Here is a 26,962-nt window from a genome sequence, read left to right on the forward strand (position 1 = left end):
CCCTGAACACTGGTGTCCACAGAATAAGAATCTCTGTCACCCAAACTGTTAGAAACCATATTTTTACTCCTACTGATGACTCTAAGCTGTGCATTACATGCTAAAAGATAATATTTAGAAGAGAATTTAAGAGAGGTGGAGTGAAATGGCCTAATGTGTATTTAAAAGGAACTATATTTTTTCAGTGTTCACTATTATACCAAAAGGAAATTCTGAAGGTAAAAATAGTGCTGTTCAAGGTCCTGAAGGATAAATTTGACTGTTTCTACAGAAAACTCACACTTATTTTGGCAACCAAGCAGTGTTAAATTTAAAAGAAAGTTATGTATGTTTTTGTATGTGTGTGTATATATGATTCATATATGACACATAAAACAAGGACTGCTACAAGAAATTCCACAGAAATCCAAATGTTTTTATTGTTGTGAAATGCTGTGGAAATGACAGTACTTCCAGAGATATCTCATTCCCAGCAGAAAGGAGTTATGGGCAAACTAACAGAGCCAGAAGAAGGAAATGCCAAAACAAACAAACAAACAAAAATGTAACTAAAGGGAAGTGCTATCCAAATCCTGGGCATATAGATAATATTGTCAAGGAAGTTAGGTCCATCAGTTGCCCTCTACCATATCTGGCAATTCAATAAAAAGCTGGACTTTCTTTTTTAGCTCTATTTCCTTCTAGCTCAATCACAAGCATCTTAGGACATTATAATTAAATATATTTTAAAAATATATATGTATATAGATATAGCTACATATACACATACACACATAAATATATATATACATATACACATATACATATATATTTTATATATAGAATCTCACTGTTTTGAATTTACAAAATATTAAAATTCATTTTTTTTCTCAGAATGGTTGGAACATAAGCTACTCTGATTAAGTAAATGCTATATTTGGCTTAGCCGAGATTTATTACATATAATGTGTGATATATCCAATTTCAAAGACTGTGAATCTGGTAAATAAACACAATGCACTCATATCTTCAATATCCTTTAGTTTTTTAGATGGTCTAGAATATGCTTAAGTATTTTTCAGTAAATGTGTTATTAGAAAAATATTTTAAACACTTTACTATTTTAAAGTATTACTAATAAACATTAAAACAGAATGCCATTTAGAGTTCAAAATTCTAAATAACGTAATAAAAATATTTTTATAATTTGAAGCGTGCTTGTATTATTTATACTTATATTTGCAATTGGCCTGTTTACAAATTTTGGTCATATAGGAGGTGGTTACTTAACCTCAGATTGTTCAAATTCCAATCCTTAATATCTTAATTTTTCTGTCGGCTTTTGAATAATGTCTCATCACAATCTCTATTAAAAGAGTGTGAGGATATGTAAAAAAAAACACACAAAATACAACTTACAATATATAACATGTATTACACCTACTGTATTTCCCATTTTATAGATAAGAAAACTCAGTTCTGGGATTTTAAGAGACTTCTTTAGATGCACAAAGCTAACAAGTGGTAGACTTCTAGCCCATCAGGACTGATTGAAAAGACAATATTTTTTGTCATGTAAAACAGGCCAATAGAAAATTTTATACTGATTTGGAAGTTTAAAAGTAAAAAATAAAATTACTGCTAAATTTTAATAAAATGGTTTTCTCTAAGTAGTAATAAAATGTTTCTTTAAAAAGGACATTTCCAGATATTTTGCATTCCCAATAGGAATGGGTGATGGCCCAACCACTGCAGCTAAGGTCATCACAAAGCTGGCAGTATGAGATGGGATTTTTACCCAGGTCCTGTGGCTCCAGAGTTTTGTACTCGTAAGCACTTTGCTGTAATGCTTCTACTACTAGTTAAGTTTTGCCAGTTACTAGAAATGGTGCTGAAGTGATTGGTAAAAATTTCTTTACACTACTGATTAATATTACATTTGTGAACTCTCCCTACACTGAAAAAAACCTGTTTCTTTTCATATTACAGACTACTGGTAATCAGCTATAATTTTATCTAAACTGATGCAGACAATTAATTATGTAAAATTAATAACTACGAATTCAGTGATTCAATATTAAGTAATAGAAAAGAATGAGTTATAATTACTATATTAATTGGCTGAATGTAAATAATTGTAAAGGTATTAAAGGTAATTTATTCTCCCAATTAGATAATCATTTTCCTAAAATTATTAATTACATTATGAATTTATTCCACAAATTTGTTTAAAATAATTCATATACAGGTAGCCCAACCTCACTTAAATATGAGTTACTTTAAATTTCACATAATAGGAATCAAATTAGCATTTTCTTTTACTTACCTTACCATAAATATGCAGATAGTGCATATTGGAAAACATTTACAATTCTTTAGCTATTAGAAGAAAGAAACTCCATCAAATATAGTATAATGATGCCCTAAGACAATTATAATGAAGTAATAACTGACCTTAGCCATGTACTAAAGTGTGACATCTTGAATTCAGTTGCCAGTATAAACTACAATTACCAAATCACTCAGTGGTTTAGAAAATCAAACCATATTCTCTCTAGCTATTCTTCTGTCTTGGCATTACCTTCTAAATTTCAGGCTTACCCAGGTCTGCCGTGGTGTAGCAACTGCCTACATTTATTGATAAGCAAATATTTTCTGATCTGTTGCCACAAAGGAAGGAACACCCAAACTGGGAGGCCAGATTAAAAATTGAAATCTTGTCAAATGTCCAATTCTCAGCATGACTTATTATTTCGTATTGTCATTTTCTGTACCCACAGAGTTAAGTCTTGTTAATTTTAGCACATTTAAAAGAATCCTAAATCATGGGTTTAAAACTAATGGGGTTGAACAGACATTTATTTATCCTGCAAAGCAGGCCAATAAACAATTTTATGTTTCCAAATGCTAATTTGGAAGTTTGAAAGTCAAAGAATGTATTGCTAATGTTAAGTAAAAAGGATTACATGAAGTAGATAGAAAAACAAATATACGCATGCTGAAAAAACATTCCTCCATGATCCATGTGATGCCCACTTTTAAAACTGAAGAGAAATAACAGAAAATATTGAGCTTCAGTTCTTCAATTGGCACTTAAATTGCAGGGTCTTGAGAGGTGAGAAAAAGGCATGAAACAGTCTGTGTTGCCTCAGATCCTTAGGTCAGAAACAAAATTCTTATCTGAAAACATAAGTTGGAATTTGTGGTCCAAGAGACTGTCATGATTCACCTGGCACATTGGATTCATCTTTTTGCTTACACTTAAATCTTTTCTAGTATTCGTTTAAGTCAGTAACATATTAAGGTTAAAAAAAAAAAAAAAGACAGTGAACATTGATTCCCTTAAATGGAGTTCTAAGAAAGTTGAGAATTTACCAAGTCAGGCACATTTTCAGTCTTCATAAGGAAAGCTTTAATTTACAATCACTGTGAAACCCCATGATACACTAAAATAGTACATTGTCAAAAGTACCAAACTATTGGGAAAAAGATGTTAATGTGATGATATTTCTAATTTTAGTCTATCCCTATATTACAGTCCTATAGCACCTTTTCTCCAAGGAGATCAGAATGCTTTATATTTAGAATAAGACGGAAATACAAATCAAAGTGAAAGTTCCCCCAGAATTATGTTGTAAAGATTAAGAGCCACAGAAGAAGAGATAAAGGGGATCAGAAGAAAATAGAAGCATGAGCAATAGGAATCCATGCAGACCCTGGCAAGTTGTCTGACTTAAGCGTTGCTGCTGCTACCTTCTCTAAATTTAGTAGTAAGGACAGACAATAGGGGCTATTCAAGGGAAACCTCTTGTTTGGTCCAGTCTAATATATCTTGATGTAGCACCATATTTTAACCATTCCTATCCTTCCCCAGTGTCATTAGGGCTTAGTTCTCCAATTCCCTCAGAGGATTATCAAAGGTCAAGGCTTGTCTTATGAGTTGTATTTTGTACATGTGGTTTAGTGACTGATAATAGTAAGAGGGAGGGTCACTCAGAGAGTACCCGCAACTATTACAAACATCTTCAGGATATCTTTATTCTGGTACTTCTCAGAAGAAGGTATGGCTTTATGCAAGTATTTTCTTTCTATTTGATTATGATAAAATGTTTTTTGATACCAACGGATGCCAATGTAAAACTTCCAATAATTCAGAAACAAACACAATTTTCATTCTCGCTTATTGAATTCTATTAATATATATAGACAGGGAATCTGAATTCAGATGTGTTATGTTCAAATCATGGCACATTAATGCCACTAATTACTACCTAAATTAGCAAGTTATTTAATCCCTCTGTGCCTCAGTTTTGGCATCTTTTCCACTGGGTATAAAATGCTTCCTACCTCAGATTGTTCTGAGGGTTACTATGTGGCACATAGAAATAAATGAATACATTTATCTATTAAGTGCATGGGAAATATTTTTTATTCAGGGTCCTAATACAAGCAGAAAAATATCTAGACTCATTGACAGTTGGAAATACTCCATGCCCTGCCTCTAGGGACGAGAAGCTCACCTTTGGAAACTATGGCTATATTATAGGACTTCCTGTAGGGAGTGTTGGGTTAAATCCTGACAAGTAATAATTTGTAAGGATGTTTTGAGAGATCATCAAAGGAGGCATGCCATTATGTTGGAAAGATCTTGATTACAGCAGAGTTGCTTATTCAACATTAACCTACATAGCCTAGTGCAAAAATAATGGTAAAGAAATAAATATTTAAAAAGAATAGCACTCATTTCTGTGTTCTCAACAACTTTCTGCAGTGCTCTGAAGTAAGGCACAGGTTCATCTGACCATCACAAAAATAAAAATTGAAATTGTATTATACTTTTTAGAGGACTTTTAATACAAATTTTATACAAAGTTTCCAAGGAGAAGCTACATATATTAAAATATTAATTATTATATCAGTTTGATACCTTAGGATAGTTAGAAAACTTTGATCAAGTTCCTTAAAAAACAGAGCAAACTGCGTGTAACACAAGACCTCTTCTCTTCCGCGTCTCTGCTACAAGTTCCCCTAGAGGTAGGGCTGAGAATACCAGGCTATGCAACTAAGTCTAGAGTCCCTGGGAACCCACAGAAGACACTAGGATCTGGGGTTTGTTCTGACACCCTACACCAATTTAGCATAAGGTTGATTTCAGGCAGGACAAAAATAGTAATAGAGGCTCCAGTTCATATCAGGCACAGTAAATCTATTTTGGATTCTCACTGTAAATAATAAACAAAGTAATGAGACATAAAGATTTCCATGTCTTAATTATGCTGAAATCAAGAAGTAGACCTGAGCTGATTGACAGAATATGCCCCACGGGAAGGTATCTAATGTGTTCAGAACAGTATGGAATACTATGAAAGTTCAAATATCCACTCCCCTTCCCCACATTCTTTCTGAATTGGAAGTTTTATGTGCAACAACAATTCTTAAGCAATAATTCTAAATATACTTTCTATTGGAAAATAAAAAATAATTATTATCTTTACTATCTGGTCAGATGCTATGATTTAAAACCTGGGCTACTTCATCTTTTAATTCTCATTCTATTTCTCTCATTCTATTCAATTATTCCCTTATTTCAAAGACTCTCATAATTTAAATGAACATTTTAAATTTTCTAACAGCTATTCTCAGTCTGGCTTCCCTCCCAGGTCTGGAGTCAGCACATTGAGACACTGCACTTTTCTTCATTATTGATTGATAAGTGACACCACTTTCCTGGGTTCACAGTCAGAGACGCAAGAACAGACAGTCCGGCTACACCATGGAGTTTAACACACACACACACATACACACACTACTGAAATTACAGTTCCTTTTTAAAGTAGGAAAGCAATCTAATACAGGTATAAACTATTAAATATTTCACATATCTAACAGTTTCAAAGGAACAGTTGAGTTTTTCTGCTATCGATTCTAGTGGTTTGCACCCAATTATTCATTCATTCATAAAGTCAACATACTTGAGTGCTTATCAGACATCAGGCTCTATGGATACGCTAGAAGTTATGAAAGTGTTTGGTGTACATGGAATGTCTGAGCTGGACAGTGGGAGAAAGAAATGGTGATAGCCTGAGTGGGAGGAGATGAGACCAGAAGAACACATGGAGGCAGATTTTGCACACCCCAGATGCAAAACTACATAATTTAGATCATATCCTACAGACATCTTGGAACCACTGGAAATTTTCAAATTTGAAGATGACAGATTTATCTTTGATGATTTTGGGGCAATAATTATGAGTGTTCTATGGAGACTGGATTGGAGTAGACAGAGAGGCTAGGGATTCCAGATCAAACAATGTTAAATGCAATCAAGATAGACAAGCTTAGATTAAAAAAAAAAATGCCTAGAAACAAATTTAACCACGGAGGTGGAAGACCTTTAGAGGGAAAGGTTCAAAGCACTGACAAAAGAAATTGAAGAGGATGCAAACAAATAGAAAGGCATCTCATGTTCATTCATCAAAAGAACTGATATTGTTAAAATGACTATACTACCCATAACAGTCTACAGATTCAATGCAATCCCCATCAAAATGCCAACATCATTTTACACAGAAATAGAAAAAAAATCCTAAAATTCATATGGAACAAAAAAAGAGTCTGAATAACCAAAGCAAAAGAAACACAGTGGAAGGCATCATGCTATCTGACTTCGAAATATATTGCAAGGCTATAGTAACTCAAACATCAGAGTATTGGCATAAAAACAGACACATAAACCAATAGAATAGAATAGAGAACCCAGAAATAAATTCATGTACTTACAGAGAACTGATTTTTGACAAATGTGTCAAGAACATACATTAAAGGAAGGGCATCCTCTCTAAAAAATGTTGCTAGAAAAATTGAATATTCATATGTGGAAGAATAAACTGGGCCTGTGTCTCTCACCATATGTATAAAACAATTCAACATGAATTAAAGACTTAAATGAGAGACCCAAAACTATAATACTACTAGAAGAAAATGTAAAGAAAGCACTTCAGGACATTCATCTAGGAAAAGATTTTGCGGCTAAGACCTCAAAAGCACAGACAACAAAAACAAAGAAAAATGGGAGTATAGTAAACTAAAATGCTTCTGCAGAGCAAAGGAAACACAGGATGAAGAGATAACCTGTTAAATGGAAGAAAATATTTGTCAAACTATTCTTGGAATGAAAGACTAACATTCAGAATGTATAAGAAACTCAAACAACTCAACAATTAAAAAAAATAGCAAATACTATTAAAAAGTGGGTAATGGATGTGAAAAGAAATTTCTCAAAAAAGACATACGAATGGCTAACAGGTATTTGAAAATATGCTCAACATTACTAATCTGGGAAAGGCAAATCAAAGCTGCAATGAGATATCAATATCAATGAAATATACCATATTAATGAGATATCATTTCATCCCAGTTAAAATGATCATTATTAAAAAGACAAAAGAAAACAGATGCTGGCAAAGATGTGAAAAAAAGGGAACCCTCATACACTGTTTGTCATAATGTAAATTAATACAACCATTATGGAGGACAGTTTGGAGACTCCTCAAAAAACTAAAATTAGAGATACTTGTAGGATCCAGCAATCCTACTTCTAGCTATATAACCAAAGGAAAGGAAATCAGTATATTGAAGGGATACCTGCACTCCCATGTTTATTGCATCACTATTTACAATAGCTAAGATTTGGAAGCAACCTGTGTCCATAAACAGATGAATGGATAAAGCAAATGTGATACATATATAAAATGGAGTACTATACAGTCAAAAAGAAGAATGAGATTCTATCATTTGCAAAAACATGGATGGAACTTTCATTATGTTATGTGAAATAAGCCAGGCACAGAAAGTCAAACTTTGCATGTTCTCACTTATTTGTGGGAGCTAAAAATTAAAATAATTAAACTCATGGAGATAGAGAGTAGAAGGATGGCTACCAGATGCTGAGAAGGGTATTGTTGGGGGGGTGGTGGAGAGGGGAAATGGGGATGGTTAATGGTTAATAAACAAAAAATAGAATGAATAAAACCCAGTATTTGCTAGCACAACAGGGTGACTATAGTCAAAAATAATTTAATTTTACATTTTAATATAACTAAAAGAGTATAATTGTTGTAACACAAAGGATAAATGCTTGGGGTGATCAATAACCCGTTTACCCTAATGTGATTATTATTATGCATTACATTCCTGCATCAAAATATTTCATGTAAACAAAATATATAAAACTACTATGTACCCACAAAAATTAAAAATAAAAAATATCCCAAAACCCAAAGAAACAAAAACTATATAGCTCTAGGTCTACCCTGTATCATCAGCCCTAAATACACAATAAAATTCCCTCGGGACCTCTCCACCTGATAGCTCCTCAGGCATCTCAGACACAACTGCATCCTATACTCCAGACCAGGGTTACCTAACTTACTCCCTATTTACATTTTGTGCTGCATAATTTTTTCTTATGTGACTGTTTTGTGTACTGTAGGATGTTTAGCAACAGCCATGGCCTCTATTCAGTACACATGACTAGTGCCCTGATATGGTTTGCCTGTGTCCCCGCCCAAATCTCATCTTGAATTCCCACGTGTTGTGGGAGGGGCCTGGTGGGAGGTAATTGAATCATGGTGACAAGTCTTTCCTGTGCTGTTCTCATGATAGTGTGTAAGTCTCACGAGATCTGATGGTTTAAAAAGAGGCATTCCCCTGCACAAGCTCTCTCATTTTTTTGCCTGCCGCCATCCACGTAAGATGTGACTTGCTTCTCCTTGGATTTTCCCAGGATTGTGAGGCTTCCCCACAAGTGGAACTGTAAGTCCAATTAAACCTCTTTCTTTTGTAAATTGCTCAGTCTCGGGTATCTCTTTATGAGCAGCGTAAAAGCGGACTAATACAGGTCGTTTCCCCCAGTTGTGAGAAGCCAAAATATCATTCAATATTGCCAGATATCTCCAGTGGAGAACCAGTGCTCCAGACTGACCTAGATAACATGATTCTCTAAAAATATGGTTTTACAGTCTGTCCCCTGGAGGAGATAGCTCCCTGGTTTCCTACCAAGATGTCTCTTCTATCCATCAGTAACCATGTTGAGTGTTAACATTGCCTGAGAAATTCTCCTTTCTGACAACACAGTATCATTTCTACACTGCTTTTATTCCACAAATATAATAAAAACGATTTTATCATAATTATTTCTGTGCATTTGTTTGCCACAACTAAACTCTTACAGGTTTCTGGAGGCCTGGCACATGGGAGTTGTTTGTTAACACTTGTTTAAATAAATAAATAAATAAATAAATAAATAAATAAATAAAAGTTTCCACATATAATAGTAACATTATCTATTAAAGTTTCACTGTTAGAGGTTATCTTTTAGAAGCCAACAAGATATTTCTCACTGATTTTTTCCTGTGTTTGTTTATTATTTTTAGTGTATGCCTTTTTTCATCAATTTATTTCAAACTAAGACAGTATCAGTAACCAGCTTTAACTTATTATTTTAATAGGTTTCAAAAGTATCAATTACTCACACAAGATATTCTAGATATACTTTACTATTTTAGAAGATGTATATTGAAAATACATGTGGGATTTTCTTTTTTTAAAAAAATTTCAACTTTTATTTTAGGTTCTGGGGCACATGTGCAGTTTTATTATATAGGTAAACTTGTCACCCTGGGGTTTGGTGTACAGATTATTTCATCTCCTAGTTACAAAGCATAGTACCTGACAAGTTTTTTTTTTTTTTTCTGAACTTCTCCTTCCTCCCTCAAATAGGCCCCAGTGTCTGTCATTCCCCTCTTTCTTTTCATGTGTTCTCATTTTGTAGCTCCCACTTGTAAGTAAGAACGTGTGGTATTTATTTAGTTTTCTGTTCCTGCATTAGTTTGCTAAGGATAATATTTTCAGTGCTCTTAGCAATATAATAATGTTCTTCATTTTTACATCATCTTTTATCAGGAGATTACAAAAACATTTAAGTTAATTCCTATACCTCTTACTAAGGAAGGTAAGTGAGTTCGTTTCCATTTCGTTTGTTTGAATAAATAAAACTCAGTACTTTTTCTAGAAAATTTTTGACAGTCCTGAGATTAGCAGTAGGAGTGCCTGGCACCAGACCTGCTCTCATGTTGCAGAGCTGTTGGAACTATTAGCTGGAATAACTAGGTTTAGTGGACTAGACTTCAACTCTGTGGTAACACATTGAGAAGAACCACATGTGGAACTTGTCAGAGATTTTCGTCAGGTCTCAAATTCATGCTGAGCTAATAATATAAGACTTCTTCCTTCTTAATAGTCTCAATGCATTACGTCTGTTGTCATCATAGACTTCTATTAAGATTTTTAGTAGAGATTAGAGCAGGGGTCCCCAACACCCAGGAAGCAGACCAGTATCGCTCCATGGACCGTTTGGAACTGGGCCCACAGCAGGAGGTGAGCTGCAGCAGCATTACCACCTGAGCTCTGCCTCCTTTCAGATTAGAGGCAGCATTAGATTCTCATATGAGCACGAACCCCACTGTGAACTGCTCATGAGAGGGATCTAGGTTGTGCTCTCCTTATGAGAATCTAACTGGATTAGATTAGTTAGATCTAGAGGTGGAACAGTTTCATTCCAAAAGCATCCCTTCCCCCACCCCCACACCAGCTGTGGAAATATTGTCTTCCATGAAACTGGTCCCGGGTGTCAAAAAGTTTGGGGACTACTGGGTTAGAGCGTTCTAGATGGTCCCAAGAGAAAGTTGTGTGTGTGTGTGTGTGTGTGTGTGTGTGTGTGTGTTTAAACAAACAAAATGTTTCTTATTAATAAGATACTTCTTCCTAATTGCTTTTGTAATTTTAAGCCTGGGAGCATCAGTCCACTACTAGGGGATTACTAGAATGGCTTTAAATTCTGTCTTAACTGATAAAATTCTCAACAAATAAAGTTGAGCCTAGAGTAAGATTTCCAATTACAGTAATATAGTAGTGAATTAGCACTAGGCATGCACTATGTTATATGCAAATTGAAGCCAAGTCCTTGGCTCAACTTCTCTGGTATACAGGGGGATGAAGCTGTCCATCAAATTGGCAAGATCTCTAGAGATAAAAACCTTCAGGTTGGGGAGATAACAAACCACTGAAACCCTTTTTAAAACAATAATTTTTCATTATGACTTAAAAATATGAATATACTGAACATAGCAATCTCACTAGTTACCTGTTATAGAAAAATGAGAAATCTTTTCTCAAAAACAAAATCATATGTATGTAGGGACCAATGGACAGTGATGCTTATCACAGCATTTTATTTTGTAATAGCAATAAATTATAAGTGATCTGGATGGCCACTAATGGGGGAATAGGCTTAATAAAACATAAATACAGGACATGTTATTTTGAACATTTCCAGTTGCCAAATTTATGGAACCATAGGTATATAACATTTTAAGTGTAAACCTAATATTCATTACTGACTTAAATTTCTTTCTTGGCTCATTGCTTTGGATCTGGGTTCTTCAGAATAATGAAATAATTCTGTTTGGGAAACAGTTTAGAATTGAAGTTGGTTGTGGGTTGGTGGGGGGGCGGGGATCCTTTCTGGATCCTAATTTATTATTCCCCAAGGCAGTCTCCTGAATGAATCTTTTTCCTTTGTTGTATAAGAGGCTTCAAAAGCAGCGAAGAACGTTCATTTTTCTCCTTAATCTTGTTACTTTGCCAGGAATAGCACAGGGGTCCCTTTAGCGAGTGAGACTAAGGGTACTAAAGTGGTTGGAAATCACTGAAAACAGTAGCAGGTTTATTTGAGCAAAATCGGCAGGGTGGTGTAATATACATTTTTAAAAATGCGTTTTCATTAAAATTAAAAAATAGCTTCCAAACAAACTCTGGAAAGGGCTCCAAATGCAGCCTTACAAACCCCAAATGAAATCAATAAAAAGAAACCAGCCAAGCAGCAAGTTGAGAAAACACCAATTAGAGTTTTTAACAAACAGAGAAGCTCGCTGTGGGGTACAGTTTTTAAATCAGACAAGAGAAATTTGGGCTTTTTTCTCTACCTCGGCTCTGCTGTACTGTGCTCTTGCTGGAACTGAAATTTATGGGATTCAGAATGCACCCCAGGAAGAAAACACAAACAAGCGGGTGCTCTGGGCATTGTATCTGAGCAGATGAAAGCAAATATTATTCTGATAGCTTTTCATTTTGCCCTCCAAGGAGCTCTGCGTTATTATCCACGACTAGGGATTTTAATAGTCAAACTACCACAAATTTGTCAACACTCAATTTCTGCCTGGTTACAGAGTACAGCTTCCATGCATGGAGGTTAACACAGGTTTCTCTAGCCAAGGAATTTTTTGAAGCAAATCATACTTGCATAGTCTGTTGCAGCTAATGTGCCTCCATTGATGACGCCACACTACGTTGGCAGGTAGGTAAAGTTCATCTTCAGTCATACCTCCCATCCCAGGCCTCAGCTGGGCTAAACACTTCCAGATATAGTCCTGTGCCTGCCTGCCTGGCTCTCTTCGGAGCTTTATTTACCTATTTCCTATCAAAACTACCCTATCTTCTTGTACCCCCTGAAATAAGCTTTGTGCTTATTTAAGGTAGTCATGAAAATATGATAGTCATGAAAATAGATAGACATGAAAAGTCACCCTGTCAGTTCTTAGGAAGCCAGTGCTTTTGCTTCACTTCCACTTAAAAAAGAGGCATTCACAAAACCCGAAGAATAATAAAGCAATTTCTATGTGTAGAGTATTTTCTCAGTTATTTGTATTTCTTTATATAGATATGTGACTATATGCATATGCATGTATATATGTATATGTATGTACATATAAATGTACATATAAACATGTATGTATATGTATGTACATATAAATGTACATATAAACATGTATGTGTATTAATTTATATATTGTGCATGTATGTATTTTTTTTTTGTCCTCAGACCCTAAGGCTGAGATTGTGGTTTTATGTTTCTATACAATTCTGGTTGTTAAAGAAACATCTTCCATGTTAATTATGTAGCCACATAACCAGGAGCTTTAAATCAAAGCTCATAATCCTTGCTGCTATGATAGGTTATAAAGATGCTTATATTGTATAAGGCCCATTGATCTAAGAATGAAACTTCCGAGCTACATCCAGGATCCTATCGTTTTCATCACCTCAGCTGGCACCACCCTCACTCTCAAGTCACCGTTTTTTCTTTCCTAATTGTTGTCCTTGCATATATCTTACGTCTGTTCTCAACACATAATCTTTTTAAAATTTTTAATTATTTAAAATCACAAAATCATGGAGTTGTAGTAGATAATCCTTCAAGTTTATTCCATACATAAAATTTTAGAGTACTTAAAATTTAGAGTACAATTTCTTTCTATATAGTCTGTGATGACCACTTCTTTTTAACCTTAGACCTAAGCTTTCATGGTTGGCCTTTTGTAGTCTTTCTTGGTATTGATAGTTGATTTTTTTTTTTTTAATTTTTAACTTTTATAACCTCAGACCTAAGCTTTCATGGTTGGCCTTTTGGTATTGATAGTTGATTTTTTAAATTTTTAACTTTTATAGATTTTAAGAGTACAAGTGCAGATGTGTTGTTACATGGGTATATGGCATAGTGGTAAAATCTGGGTTTTTAGTGTACCTATCATCCAAATAGTATACATTGTACCCAATAGGTGGTATTTCATCCCTCACCTCCCTCCCACCCTCCCACAATTTGGAGTCTCTAATGTCTATTATTCCACTCTGTTTGTCCAGTTGTACCTACTGTTTAGCTCCCATTTATGAATAAGAATATGGAGGTTTTGATTTTCTGTTTCTGAGTCATTTCTTTAAGGATAATGGCCTCAATTTCCATCCATGTTATCGCAAAAGACACAATTTCATTCTTTTTTATAGCTGAGTAGTATTCCATGGTGTGTGTGTGTGTGTGTGTGTGTGTGTGTGTGTGACTTTTAAAAATTCAGTCATCTGTTGATGGAAATTTAGGTTGATTCCATGACTTTGCTCTTGTGAATAGTGCTGTGATAAACATGAGTGCAGGTGTCTTTTTCATATATTGAGTTTTTTTTCCTTTTGGTATATACCTAGCAGTGGGATTGCTAGGTAAAATAGTAGTCCTATTTTAAGATTTTTGAAGAATCTCCATTCTGTTTTTTTATACAGGTTTTACTAATTTACAGTCCCAATCCCAACAACAGTGTATAAGTGTTCCCTTTTGTCTGCATCCTCACCGATATCTACTTCTTTTTTTTTTTTTTTTTTTTTTTTTTGAGACAGAGTCTTGCTCTGTCGCAAGGCTGGAGGGCAGTGATGCGATCTCGGCTCACTGCAACCTTTGCCTCCTAGGTTCAAGCGATCTCCTGCCTCAGCCTCCTGAGTAGCTGGAACTGTAGGCACACACCACCATGCCCAGCTAATTTTTGTATTTTTAGTAGAGACGGGGTATCACCATGTTGGCCAGGATGGTCTCAATCTCTTGACCTTGTGATACGCCTGCCTTGGCCTCCCAATGTGCTGGGATTACAGGCATGAGCCACCACGCCCGACCTATCTGCTGTTTTTAGACTTTTTAATAATACCCATTCTTACTGATGTGAGATGATAATTCCTTGTCTTTTTAATTTGCATTTATCTGATGATTGGTAATGTTGAACATTTTTTCATATCTTTGTTGGCTGCATGTATTTCTTCTTTTGAAAAATGTCAGTTCATCTCCTTTTAACCACTTTTTAATGAGATTATTTTTATAACCACATTTTAATGAGGTTATTTATTTTTTTCTTGTTGATTTGTTTGATTCTTTGTAGATTCTGGATATTAGCCCTTTGTTGGATGCATTGTTTCCAAATATTTTCTTCCATTCTGTAGGTTGTTTACTCTATTGATTATTATTACTTTTTTTTTTTTTTTTTTTTTTTTTGCTGTGCAGAAGCTTTTTAGTTTAATTAAGTCCCATTTATCTATTTTTGTTTTGGTGTGTTTTTTTTTTCTTAGAACTTAGTCATAAATTATTTGCCTACACCAAGTCCAGAAGAACCTTTCCTAGGTTTTCTTCTAGGATTTTTTTTTTAATTTCAGGTCTTCTATTTAAGTCTTTAATCCATCTTGAATTCATTTTTGTATACAGTAAGAGACAGAGGTACAGTTCCTTTCTTCTGCATATGGCTATTCAATTACCCCAGCACCATTTATTGAATAGAGTTTTCTTTCCCCAGTGCAGAGTTATATTTTTAAAAAGTAAATTACCTCATATCATTCAAACCTTCCAGTGGCTCTTAATTTAACTAAGGTTGAAAACCACCAGAGTCTTTGAATTGTCCAACAGGCTCTAAATGATCTTGTTCCCCTCACCTCTCTGCCCTACCATCTAACTACTCTCCCTTTACTCATCTGGATCATCCATCAGTATTGAGCCCTTACTGTTTCAGGAGCATACCAGTCCTTCTTCCATCTACATCATTCCCTTTGCTTGGAATGTTCTTTTTCTAGATATGCACTTGTTTGACATCTCCACCTTCAAATCTTTACTTATTCAGGCTTATTTTGACCCTTCTATTTAATACTCAACCTACCCATTTCCTCCCTCCCACAAACATCATTCCCTCTTCTAGGTCTCTTAATTATTATTATTATTATTATTATTTACTATATTTTTGTAGCATTTTCCACCTTGTATACAATGGAATTTAGTTATTTCTTATTTTCATTTTTACTTTCTATCTTCCTTGCCAAAATATAAGCTCCCTGAGGGTGAGGATCTTTAACTTTGTTTGCCAGTCCCTATGTTTAGAAACTGATACATAGTAGATAATCAATAAATATTCAGTAAAAAATGAACACTGTTCAAATACATTCAAAATCATAGATTGCATTTTTCATCTCTAATCAGTGATGCAAGTGTATATGTGTGCATAATTATAACAATTTAATTATAGATTTCTTATTTGAGAGTGTGATGAGATGGATTATATTATTTTTTGATGAGATATGCTTAAGAAAATGTTAGAATGTTTAAAAAGAGAATGTTTTGATTGATTGTTTCCCCTGGCACAACAAACATTTAATGAACAACTACTTTCTCTTACATATTTGAAGTACAACACTGGTAGAGTCATGTCGCAAAAATACCAAAGTTGGGTGGTTGAGGCTGACTTGGAAACAAAAGACCACAGTATAGATTGGTGAGTGCAATAGCAGAATCATGCACAAGGAGGAACACTAACATGCAAGAGAGTCATTCACAAAATGGTAGACACTACTGTGGTTAGATCATGATCCAGGTGAATTCAAAGTAAGTCTTGAGAGTCACCCTGTGTTTTGATATGAAAAGAAATACAGGGAAAACGTAGAGAGGAAATAAAAGGAAGCCATGTATGAGGGCTTGAGATTTTGTTGTCTGTTTTATCCCAGGAGGAAGACTAAGTGCTCTGCCTTAACTCAGGCCAGGCTGTGGGCGCAAGTGCACCAACGGCTTTGAGACTAACACACAGCTCAGAACAAGGTATGACAAGTGAAGGAGGAAAGAAAGAAAAAAGACAAAAACCAAGAGGAAAACAACTCTCTCGCCTTTTCTCTTCCCATAATCTATAAGGAAAAAAAAAATCCACAGGGCCCATTGTGGATACATAAGAGAGGGTAAATGCTCATTCATACTGTAGGATCAGAGATTTAGCCCACTGCTCACAGGATGGAGAAAATTGACATAATTGAGTCTATAATCTAAACATCAATTTTGACCAAACAATAAGCAGAAATTGTTTCTATTTATTTATTTAGTTTCAGGTCAAGTTTTGTGCTTGAGTTAAGTTTCCATGGAAATTCTTACTCCATGCTGTTGTGAAGAGGCAACTCTGTTTCAACAGGCTTTGGATTCCGGTTCAGGCTCCAGCCTGTCTCAAAATCTAAACAGAATCCTAAAATCTGTTCCTGCCTCTACCAGAACTTGCTGTATTTTCTTTGCCTCCTGCCACCACACAGTTGGATGGACACCAAGTTTAGAAAATTTCAGCCTCAAAGAAACATTTTAAGAAAGTTATGAGCCAGATTCAATTATTTATATAATAAAAAGTATCTCTAAAATAATATTATTGGAATATACCTTTCAGCACAACTTAAAATAGCTACAAGTGTCAGCTCTAGAAGCAGATGGACTTGGGTTTCAATTCCAGTTTTGCCATTTATTAGCTATTTTAACTGTGACTTAATTTTCCTATCTGTAAAATGGGGGTAATAATTAGAATGACATCCTAGAGCTATTGAAACAGTCTAATGAGATAATTTATGTGCAGTGCTGAGCAAAGTGCCTGGTTCCTAAATAATGCTTAACAAATCCATCATAATTGCTGTCATGATGGTTATAATTTCCAACCATCAACTCTCAGCATATACATTTTATGAATTTTCAAACAGTAAACTAACATCCAAGCATTCGTTTAGTTTTCCGTGAGCACAATGAACCCATTGGTTCCCATCATCTCCGTGGCATATCTTCTTTCCCTGGAGAGAAGAGCAGTAAATAAAAATGACAATGACAATTATTTTTGCAAGAGTTTCCTGAACAAAAGGATAAGAGTGAAATGTTTGTTAGTAAACTTCAGCTCCATGGTGAGAAGATGTTATTAGCAGAAGCTGATTAAAAAACAAAATTTTGATAATTTTAAAAGGTAAATCATTTAAGATCCTTCACGCTGTAGTATAACATAGGCAAGTGCATTGATTTGGAAATAACAGTCTTATTTACTAATTACAGAAGCTATTCATTTTGTACATACTGCACTCCCTTTCTTTCCCCTCTCTTTCACCCCCTCATTAATAGATTTAGAACTGACAGTGCTTTCACTTCTAAGTATAAAGAATAATTTTCTTCTGAACATAGAGACAACGATGAAATCAAAGTTTAAAATATAGTCCTCTTCTAACAGCGATTCAGATTTCCATTAAACCTCCTCCCACCCTCTCAAATTAAAGTTTGAAAAGCAGAGCTCAGAAATAAACTGACAGGCACTAGTGCTTCGTTCATTTCCAGCAAGGAAGCACCAATTTGATTCCTACCATAACAATTTTTGCTGTTGCCAGTGCATCAGATTTTTTTAACACAGCTTCTCAAGTGATAGAAATCATCCCGTCACTTTGTTTCATAAAATTGACACCCTGGGGAAATGCAAAATATAGTAAGAACTTGAGCAAAGCTTCTCCTCCAACCCCTGCTAGGTATTCCTGAAATCCTTTTTTTCCTCTTAAACGAATGTCATCAATCCCAATTGCTTGTTGTTCTTTTCTCCTTGTTCTGCTCATGTGCTACAACATCCCTTGGCTTCCCTGAGCACAAGAGTTGGTGTTTTTAAAAGTGTTACTCATAGATAGGATTCTACTGCTGGCTGATTGGAATGCAGCGACAAATAAAAAAAAAGAAACTTGATGAAATTATTTCACACACAGAGCAATAAACATATGGAATAAATTACTACAGAAGACGATTCAAAGAGTTTAAGAAACACCTGGATTTGTTTCTGGAGGCAGTCGATTGGAGAGTAGCATTAGAAACAGGAGGGTGAAATAAAAGCAACACTCAAGAAGCCAAGAGTCAGGGCTCTAACCTCTTGTTGAAATGGCACCTCCTCTTGCAGTTGCTGCACAGGAGTCTATTAGGGAAAGACTTCTCGAATACACTGGGAACAAGTCAGACTAAGTCACAGGAGCTACCTTTCTAAAGGGGCTGGTCACTGGATTTCACTAAAGGAAGTAAATGCTGGAAGATTCTTCTCAATCCAGAAAGAGGGGAATAATGTCTGAATATGCAGGAACTGAAACTCAGCAATTGGTTTGAGATCTGGTGAAGGCTTACCATTTTAGCCACATCTCAGACCTCTTTCCACCACCCTTCCTCCCTATTCTCCAGGCATATTCCGACTGTTCAGACATGATTGACGCCCCTCCCAATCTGTACGCATGTTGCTGTTACTTTTCCCAAATCTTCCCTTCATTCTTCAGTACCGAGGTCACCCTTTCTGTGACATCTCAGTTTATATTAATGTCTCCCTCTGTGTCCTATACCAGATGCAAAATATCTTTATGTGTTTATTAATCTTCACCTCAGCACTCCACAAAGTGCCTGGCTCATAGGAGATGTTTAGCATATAAAACATTTATTTTGTCTTACTTTGTTCCAGAGAAGAATTAAAGTGTTTGATAAAATAATAGCTAACATTACCAAGCCTTTAACATGTGCCAGGCACTGTTCCAAGTGCTTCGCATGTTTTAACTCATTTGGTGCTCATAACGGCACTGAGGATGAGCAAGTTTGCGATGTAGGTATTAATGTTATCCCTATTTTGAAAGTGAGGAAATAGAGGTGCAGAGATTTGGGCTAACTTGCCCATGGTCAGCCAGCTAGGGAAGAGCAAAATTTGGGTTGGCCTCAGCCAGAGGTTAGTTGGTTCCAGAGGCAGTATTCTTGACCATGACTCTGACTACCTGAATGCCTAATGTAGCAAGGAGACAAAAATAGGAGAAAGTGATACGAAATAAACAGCTGAGGTCACAAACAAACTCTTAATTAGGCTAATTAAAAAGGCATATTGTAATGCCCTATACACATTTTATTATTCATAATCCAATTTAAGAGATAAACTTTATCAATTCGTTAGTTAAATGATGAAACAAAAGCAAATCAGTTACTCAGGAGGTTATTCTTGATAACAAAACCTGAATTTTTTTATCCTATGCGGTTCATAGAAGACAATGGTGCATTAAATTGTTCCTTTATTCAACCATCCAAGTGTTCACCTATCCAAATAGCAGACCTAGGTATTTAAGCAGCTAGGAATAGTGGGTTTCAGGACAAACACTTTGTAAAAGTATATATGACTATACAAAATGATATGCACTGATTTTACATATCTAAATGGACAGTAGACATCCAATCATTCAACAAATAGACGTTGAACCTCTACAGTGTGTCAGGTGTTATTCTAGGTCCTAATGACTCAGTGATGAACCAAAAAAAGGTATCGTTCCCCTTTTGGTTCATCATATTGCCCTCATGGAGCTTAAGTTCTAGATGAAGAGGCAAATGATAAACAAATGATAATGTCAGGTGGGGTTAACAGCTAGAAATTAAATAAAACATTATGAGGATAAAGAATAACTAGGGAAAGGGGGACTCTCTTTTAGAAAATATGGTTAGGAAATATCTCTCTGAAAAGATAATAACTAAACAGAGACCTGAGTCAAAAAAGATATCAGAGACTGTTTTCTACTTTTTCCTTAATTATTCCAGCTGGAAATCCAGATGAAATGTTATCACTTATTTGTGTAACTTCAGGCAATAGAGAAAAAATGTATTTGATGATTTGTTCTGTAAATCATCCTTTCTTCCTGATATGTTCCTTTATTAGTGGTAAATACAAATTTTTTGGAGGCCTGAATATAAGCAAATGAAGACAAAGAATGGGGTAAATTTGATACCCACCAATCCAGCAACAGTCTGTAGAGTGGTGTGATTAATTTAGTCTAGTAAAAATCCAAAAGCCTACACTGACCATCAAAAGGAAGACAATTAGAAAAATAATTAGAAATCTTAGAGGTGAACTATATCACACCTATTTCAAAACACTTGTTCAATTTGGTTTTCAAATAATAGGATTTGGTGGGGCCTGATGGCTAAGAAGTATTTTAATAAATGGTCCAACTTTGGGAAATATAATGTTTTGATCAGATGCTACAGGTTATTATATTCAACTTATGAAAATATTTAAGAATTCTAGACCTGGGTGTTTGTCATACCTGTCATTGCTGGTCATTTCACATGTGAGTATGGAAAATCTGTATGACCAAGGGAAAAAAATAAAAGTGTTAATTTATTAATGCATGTGTTTTTAACATGCACTCTAGATTAATTCTGCTTTTCAGAAGAGTCACTCATTCTTTTTTTATTTCCTCCCACCTTGTACTTTGTCGAGCAATCAGCTATCTATTTTCTAACACTGCACACTAAAACTAGGGAAATTCTTCCTATATTATGATTCAATAACTGTCAGATATCAGATTATTTTAAGAAACTGAAGTTTTAGTCTTTAAATGTTACCAACTTTCTCCCCTATACCTTACAAGTTTGTGTTTCATTTGGGACCACATTAAGTGAAGATGGCTCCAAACTGCATGTCATTATTTATGTAAAAAAGGATGTCGTTGTACATTTTTAGGTGCAAGTGGCTGGACCTTCTATTATTTTAATATTAGCGGTGTTTCTGTTCAATGCGAATTTCAGGAAGAATGCTCTGTAGTGAAAGGGAACGAAAAGCATAGACATTTATTTTCTTCTCCAGAATAATAATGCCCTATGGGATTTTGTCATTGGAAGGACCCGGGTCCTAAGTATTAGAATGCTCTGAGATAAACAATACAAATGGAACCAAAAGCCGAGGGAGAAAAAGATTTCAAAGCTGACAACCTAGACTAAGACGAAAGATTTTAAGTGTGTGTCTATTTATTTGCTAGGATACATACTAGAACCATGATACTTTCTTTGCAAAGTTAGAGCATGTGCTTAATTTAAACGCACTGTTTCAGCATCCAAGTAACTACCATATATGGGTGGGGTAGTGAGGCAAATTAGGTGTTGGAATCATACGATGTTACATAGACCCCAGCATAAGGAAGAGGCTAGAGCTTTGTGAGTGCAGTTGCTTATGTACTGTATAGTGCTTTCCGTATTTATAAAACTGGAGCATACGTTCTATTGCTCTTGTTCTTAGATTTTCAGACAGCCATAATTTCCGGTCTTTTGTTTGAAATGAAGGCCTGCCTGGAAAAATTGAGGGTGCTGCCAGGCTTACTAAAAGACATATTTTGTAGCACACTATATTCTTTACTCCGCTATTCCCCATACCCCCAACTCTCGGGTGTAGGGGGAAGGGCACAAGGTTTGAGAAGGATGTAAATTATGAAACTGAAAGCACATTAAAGCAATTTATGTACAGAATCTTTTCAGATGTCCTCTTAGCCAGAAAACACGGACATATACTAGTGTATTCTAATATATTATCCATGCATACGTTGAAGACTATGTTCCTGGAGTGAAATTATTTGTGAAATGCAAGTTACATTTTGATTCCTTTTGGAGAAGAAAATAAAAGTTAAAATTTAGGTTATATATCTGGAAGACCAAAGTAGGCAATCAAAATCAAACTTTTACATCAGATTCATTTGACACGATTTCAAGATAAACTAAGTTCAGTAAACCTGTTGGCAGAGAAGTATCATTTGTCAAGCGATTAACAGAGACACAATCTGTAATTACAAATTGCAGAAAGCAGGCCACTAATGAGAGAATGACTCACATTTTGGGGTGAAGAGGGAGGGGTCTCTCAGAAACTGCCATTTGATTTACAAAACTCTAAATAGCTAATGGCAGGTAACTCTTGCCAGCTAACCAGCCAACTCTTTCAAGCTCATTAACAGAACTCCATGGTCTCACTAAAGGATAAACCATATGGAGGTGTCACTAAAAGCTGGAGATGAGAGACTGTAATTTATGTTCAGTCCTCCTGTGAGTCAGTCATATGGGCATTGATTTAAGCCTTTGTTTATCTGACGTGACCTGTTCTTAAGTAAAAAGAGAAAATAAATTTTTGGGGTTATTGTTTTTTTTTCTATACTATCTTAAACTGCAGTGTTCAACTCATTATTAAACTTTCTTTTTTCTGTTCTTGTTTCTCCAGCTTCCCATCTTTGTCACATTTTAGTTCTAGCAAAACAATTGAATAATAGCATTATACAGCCCTAATCCATTGTTTGCTTTGAGCTCTGCTCTTAGAGGGTTGTTAAATTGCTATTCTATGATTTCCCTCGTGATTGCAAACCTGCTGCTCTAAGGTCATTTTTAACTCTTTATTCTCACGGACCTTGTGAATGTTTGAGGAAGCATAATGTGTGGCAGCATGCCTAGGAATGCACCTTTATAAAGTGTCATTTTGTAGGGGAATCTTTTTATTGAGTCCCTCTAATCTGAGTACCACAGTAGTGTGCATATATGCAACTGCGATTTCCGCCTGATATCCTTATGATATAAAAAATAAAATACCAAATGAAGATAGTTTTAAAAAATAGTACTGATGGCTATTTAATGATAAGCAAGTCATCTGTTCTGTCTTTCTATCTCAGTCTTCCCTAGAGGCAAACAGTTTTAACCAGTTTTTCCTGAGGGTTTCATTGTGATTTTGTTTCTGTTATATTTCTTTATTTTTATTCATCCATTCATTTGCCCAGAAAATATATATTGAGCACCTTCAACATAACAAATTGGCTGGGCACTGATGGAACAACTATAAACAAGCCAGACAGCATCACTGTGTTGATGAAACTCACTCTCAAAGGGGAAAGAAAGTGCTTGAAGCAAGGACAATACATTGTGAACAATGCATAATGAGAGCTGGCATGCTTGTCAATGGAAGTCATACACAACATCTGCTTGAGTGGTGAGTGGTCAAGGGGTAGAAGAGGTTTCATAGGGAGGTGATATCTAAGCTAAGTCCTCAGGAATTAGTAAGTGTTTTACAACAGAGGATGGTAGAAGTTCTGGGTTAAGTAGTGAGAAAAATATGTTCAAAGGCCCAGAAGCCAGAGCACATAGAATTTTAGAGAATTAAAGTAATTCTGAATGAAGAATTCATTTCAAGAAGCAGGAGAGTGGAAATACCATGGAGGCTGAATAATTTCCTATTCAGATTTATTGATATTAAAAGGTGTGTGTGCTTGTGTGTGTGCACACACACACTGTGGCTCGGGAGAGCCATTGAGATACCTGCATGTTGAAACCACGTTGATATTAATCACCCAGAATAATCTGGGGAACAAGAAGGTTGATATTCTAGAAGGGGACACCAAGATGGGAGGGACAGGCTGCAATTTAAGGGTGATCAAAGAAGACCGATTTGGGTGACACCATGCCAGAAAAGTGGGATGGCATGGATATCACAAAATAGATTTCAGCAATTATAAAGGGATCAGAAGTGTTAAATGTTTCTATATGGAATGTATTTTGATAGACTATTATCAGTTAAAATACATGTATACCCTCCTAATTGTCTTGAACTACATACTCGTAACAAAGCATGGCTGTGCCTGGCCTGCTTCTTCGCACTGATGTCCACCAAAAAATCTTGCTGTGTTAAGCAGATGTCTTACCACACTGCAGGCTTTCTCCCATTGACACCCATGTGAGAACTCCAACATCTTCTTGGGTGGAAGCTTTGAGTATTTTTTTCTGCAGTTGTGAAAGGCATAATTTTGGGCACTGCTCATTCTATCAATGGTTGCTCTTGCCCTCAGGCGTCACATCTCCTAGTAGAGATTCCTTTAAGTCTTAAGCCTGAGTGTCATCTTTAGTGAAACACTGCTTTCTTAGGAGATAAATCTGTAGATTTCTCATCTCTTCCTTTTGAGTTAGTCTTGCAGTACTAGAAGAAATCCATCAGAATTTCTAGCATGTGGGTCACACTCTACTAGTTTCCAATGATGGTACACATTTTTACGTTATTAAAATTTCATCCTATAGATTATTTCCAAGAAAACGTGAAAGAGGGATTATTAGAACAGGCATTGTCATTTTACCTGGAGATGTTCAACTATTTTACTATATCAAACCTGATAGGTTCAATTTAGGACTCCATAAGTCAGCAAAATGACTTAACATTGCAGAGAAGTAAATTAAAATATATTTCCTACAGATTAATGCAAACTAAACAATATTCTAGAATTCAAGTTAAGTTTCCCCTCAATTAGCCAGATAAAACTATGGACATGGCTCTTCTTGATCTCCTTCAGATCCCTTCTCCCCTTATTATTCCAGTTTCAGGGTCTCTGGCTCCTCCTCATGTGCTTCACATACTTCCTGCAGAGAACTTGCTATATCATATTTGGTTCTTACATTAGTTGTCCAAATATTTTGAATCTCTCTAATTGCAGTTGCTCAATTCATGATTAAATTTACAAGGATGTTGCATTATACTTACAAGGATTTTTATTCTTCTCCAGTATATGTTCTTATAAGACACCGGCTAGATCGCTTCATCTCTCCATTTTATTTTATGAATATGGCATTTGGGCAGATGTATTTCAGATTTTGGATTGAGAACAGCCTTTAAAGTCTCCACCAATAAGTCCGTGAAACTCTCTCTCAGGTTATTAGCCATCCACCCTATGAATGATAATCCAGTGTTTTATTGCTACCCAGGTGAGTGGGTCCACTATTCTTCCATCTCAGTCTCAATGGCAGCTCCTCAGAAAAGCCTTCCCTGACCACCTTGTCTGAGTAAGCGTTCTCTTAGTGTCTTGCCTTTTATTACACAATGCTTATTTTCTTCATAGAACTAAGCATCATTTGTAATCATTAGTTGCTTTTTTGTTTGTTTGTTTCTCTCACTAACCTTTAAGTTGTGTGGGTACAAAAATGGTAACTTTTGGATTGCTACCATATTCTAGATAATACATCTTTAGAATGTCTTGATATTTAAAATGTATTTGTTCAATAAATGAAGGAACAAATACATTGTGTAGAATGGCATATGTTGGTGATATGGTTTGGGTCTGTGTCCCCACCCAAATCTCATGTTGTTGAATTATAATCCCCAATGTTGGAGGAGGGCCCTGGTGGTAGGTGAATGGATCATGAAGGTGGATTTCCCCCTTACTGTTCTCATAATCCTGAGTGAGTTCTCATGAGATCTGGTTGTTTAACAGTGTGTAGTACGTCCCTCTTCACTCTCTTCCTCCTTGTCTGGACATTTAAGAGGTACCTGTTTCCCCTTTGCCTTCTACCATGATTGTCAGTTTCCTGAGGCCTCCCCAGCCAGGCTTCCTGTACAGTCTGTGGAACTGTGGGTAAATTAAACCTCTTCTTTATACATTATCCAGTCTCAGGTAATTTTTTATAGCAATGCAAGAATGGACTAATAGAGTTGGAGATAATACATCTCCAGCTGTGTATTTAATTTTCAACATATCAACTTAAAATTTTATTAAGCAACCATGACCGTATGTGATTTTTGGAATATACTATCAAAAGCAAAATATCTATGGAATAAAATAAGACGTTTATGCTAACAGTTAAATGCCTTAGTTGGAAATAAGAGGGCATCTTATGTTTTATTTTATATGAAATTAATTGAGCAATAAGTTGATAGGAGGCTTTTCAGTCTGAGGTATATAGAGGTGCCTGTTCACCCACTAAGATTCTCATACAGTTTAAAATCTGATTAAAAATGCACTCCTCATAATTTAATTAGGCTTTTAGAAAGTTAACACATCATCAGCATACCATACTCATTAATGAGCAATTATATATGAGAAAAACAATGTGGTCCAGTAAAAAGGTCCATGATTTGAAGATAGGTATTCAACCATCCCTCTACCCATCTACCCATCAATCCTGCACTCCTCTTTTCATTCAACAAACACACTGAATATTCAATGACCACAGTTACATGCTGTGCCACTTGCTAGATTTGAAAGGATAATGTTCTGCATACTAGATATGTACCCTGGGCAATTACTTAATATCCTCAGTTACAAAATGTTATGCATGATTGTAAGAAAAGATGTATAATTAAAGCACAGCATCCGATACTCAAAAAGGCCGTGAGAATATGGAAATGCCTTCAGTTTTCCAAGAAGATTTTAATTCTATGGTTACATCATGGAATCTACATACAAAGAATTCCAAAACTGAAACAACATTGGCTAGCAATTTTTAAAATTTATTTAAAAAACTAGTATTTACAAACTAATTACAACATAATTGGATGGCTAGAGAACTTAAAGTTTACCATTTTTGATGAAAACTGAAATCAGAAGCCTTGAGTATTACTTGTGGGCCATCTAATTGGACATTTTTTGATACAAAGGCAAAAATGAAAACCAACATTGGATAAGAAATGTATAGAACAAACATACTAGTTTTCTCTATCTCTAGGTGGACTGT

General features: G+C 35.4%; 1 long non-coding RNA gene across 7 annotated transcripts in view; it reads left to right on the forward strand.

Annotated features, from left to right (window-relative positions):
• LOC107984685 (uncharacterized) overlaps nucleotides 1–26,962 on the forward strand; it is a 216,619-nt gene that overhangs the window by 109,480 nt on the left and 80,177 nt on the right. For 6 of the 7 annotated variants that reach the window (XR_007064101.1, XR_001750697.1, XR_001750694.2 and 3 more), the window contains one exon: nucleotides 16,393–16,483. This is a non-coding gene — a long non-coding RNA (uncharacterized LOC107984685). Of the gene's footprint in view, nucleotides 1–16,392; nucleotides 16,484–23,250; nucleotides 23,663–26,962 lie in introns of those variants that run through there. The other variant, XR_007064100.1, reaches the window with a different exon arrangement.

This window comes from Homo sapiens, chromosome 14 (genome assembly GCF_000001405.40).
Source record: "Homo sapiens chromosome 14, GRCh38.p14 Primary Assembly".
Lineage (NCBI taxonomy): Eukaryota > Metazoa > Chordata > Mammalia > Primates > Hominidae > Homo > Homo sapiens.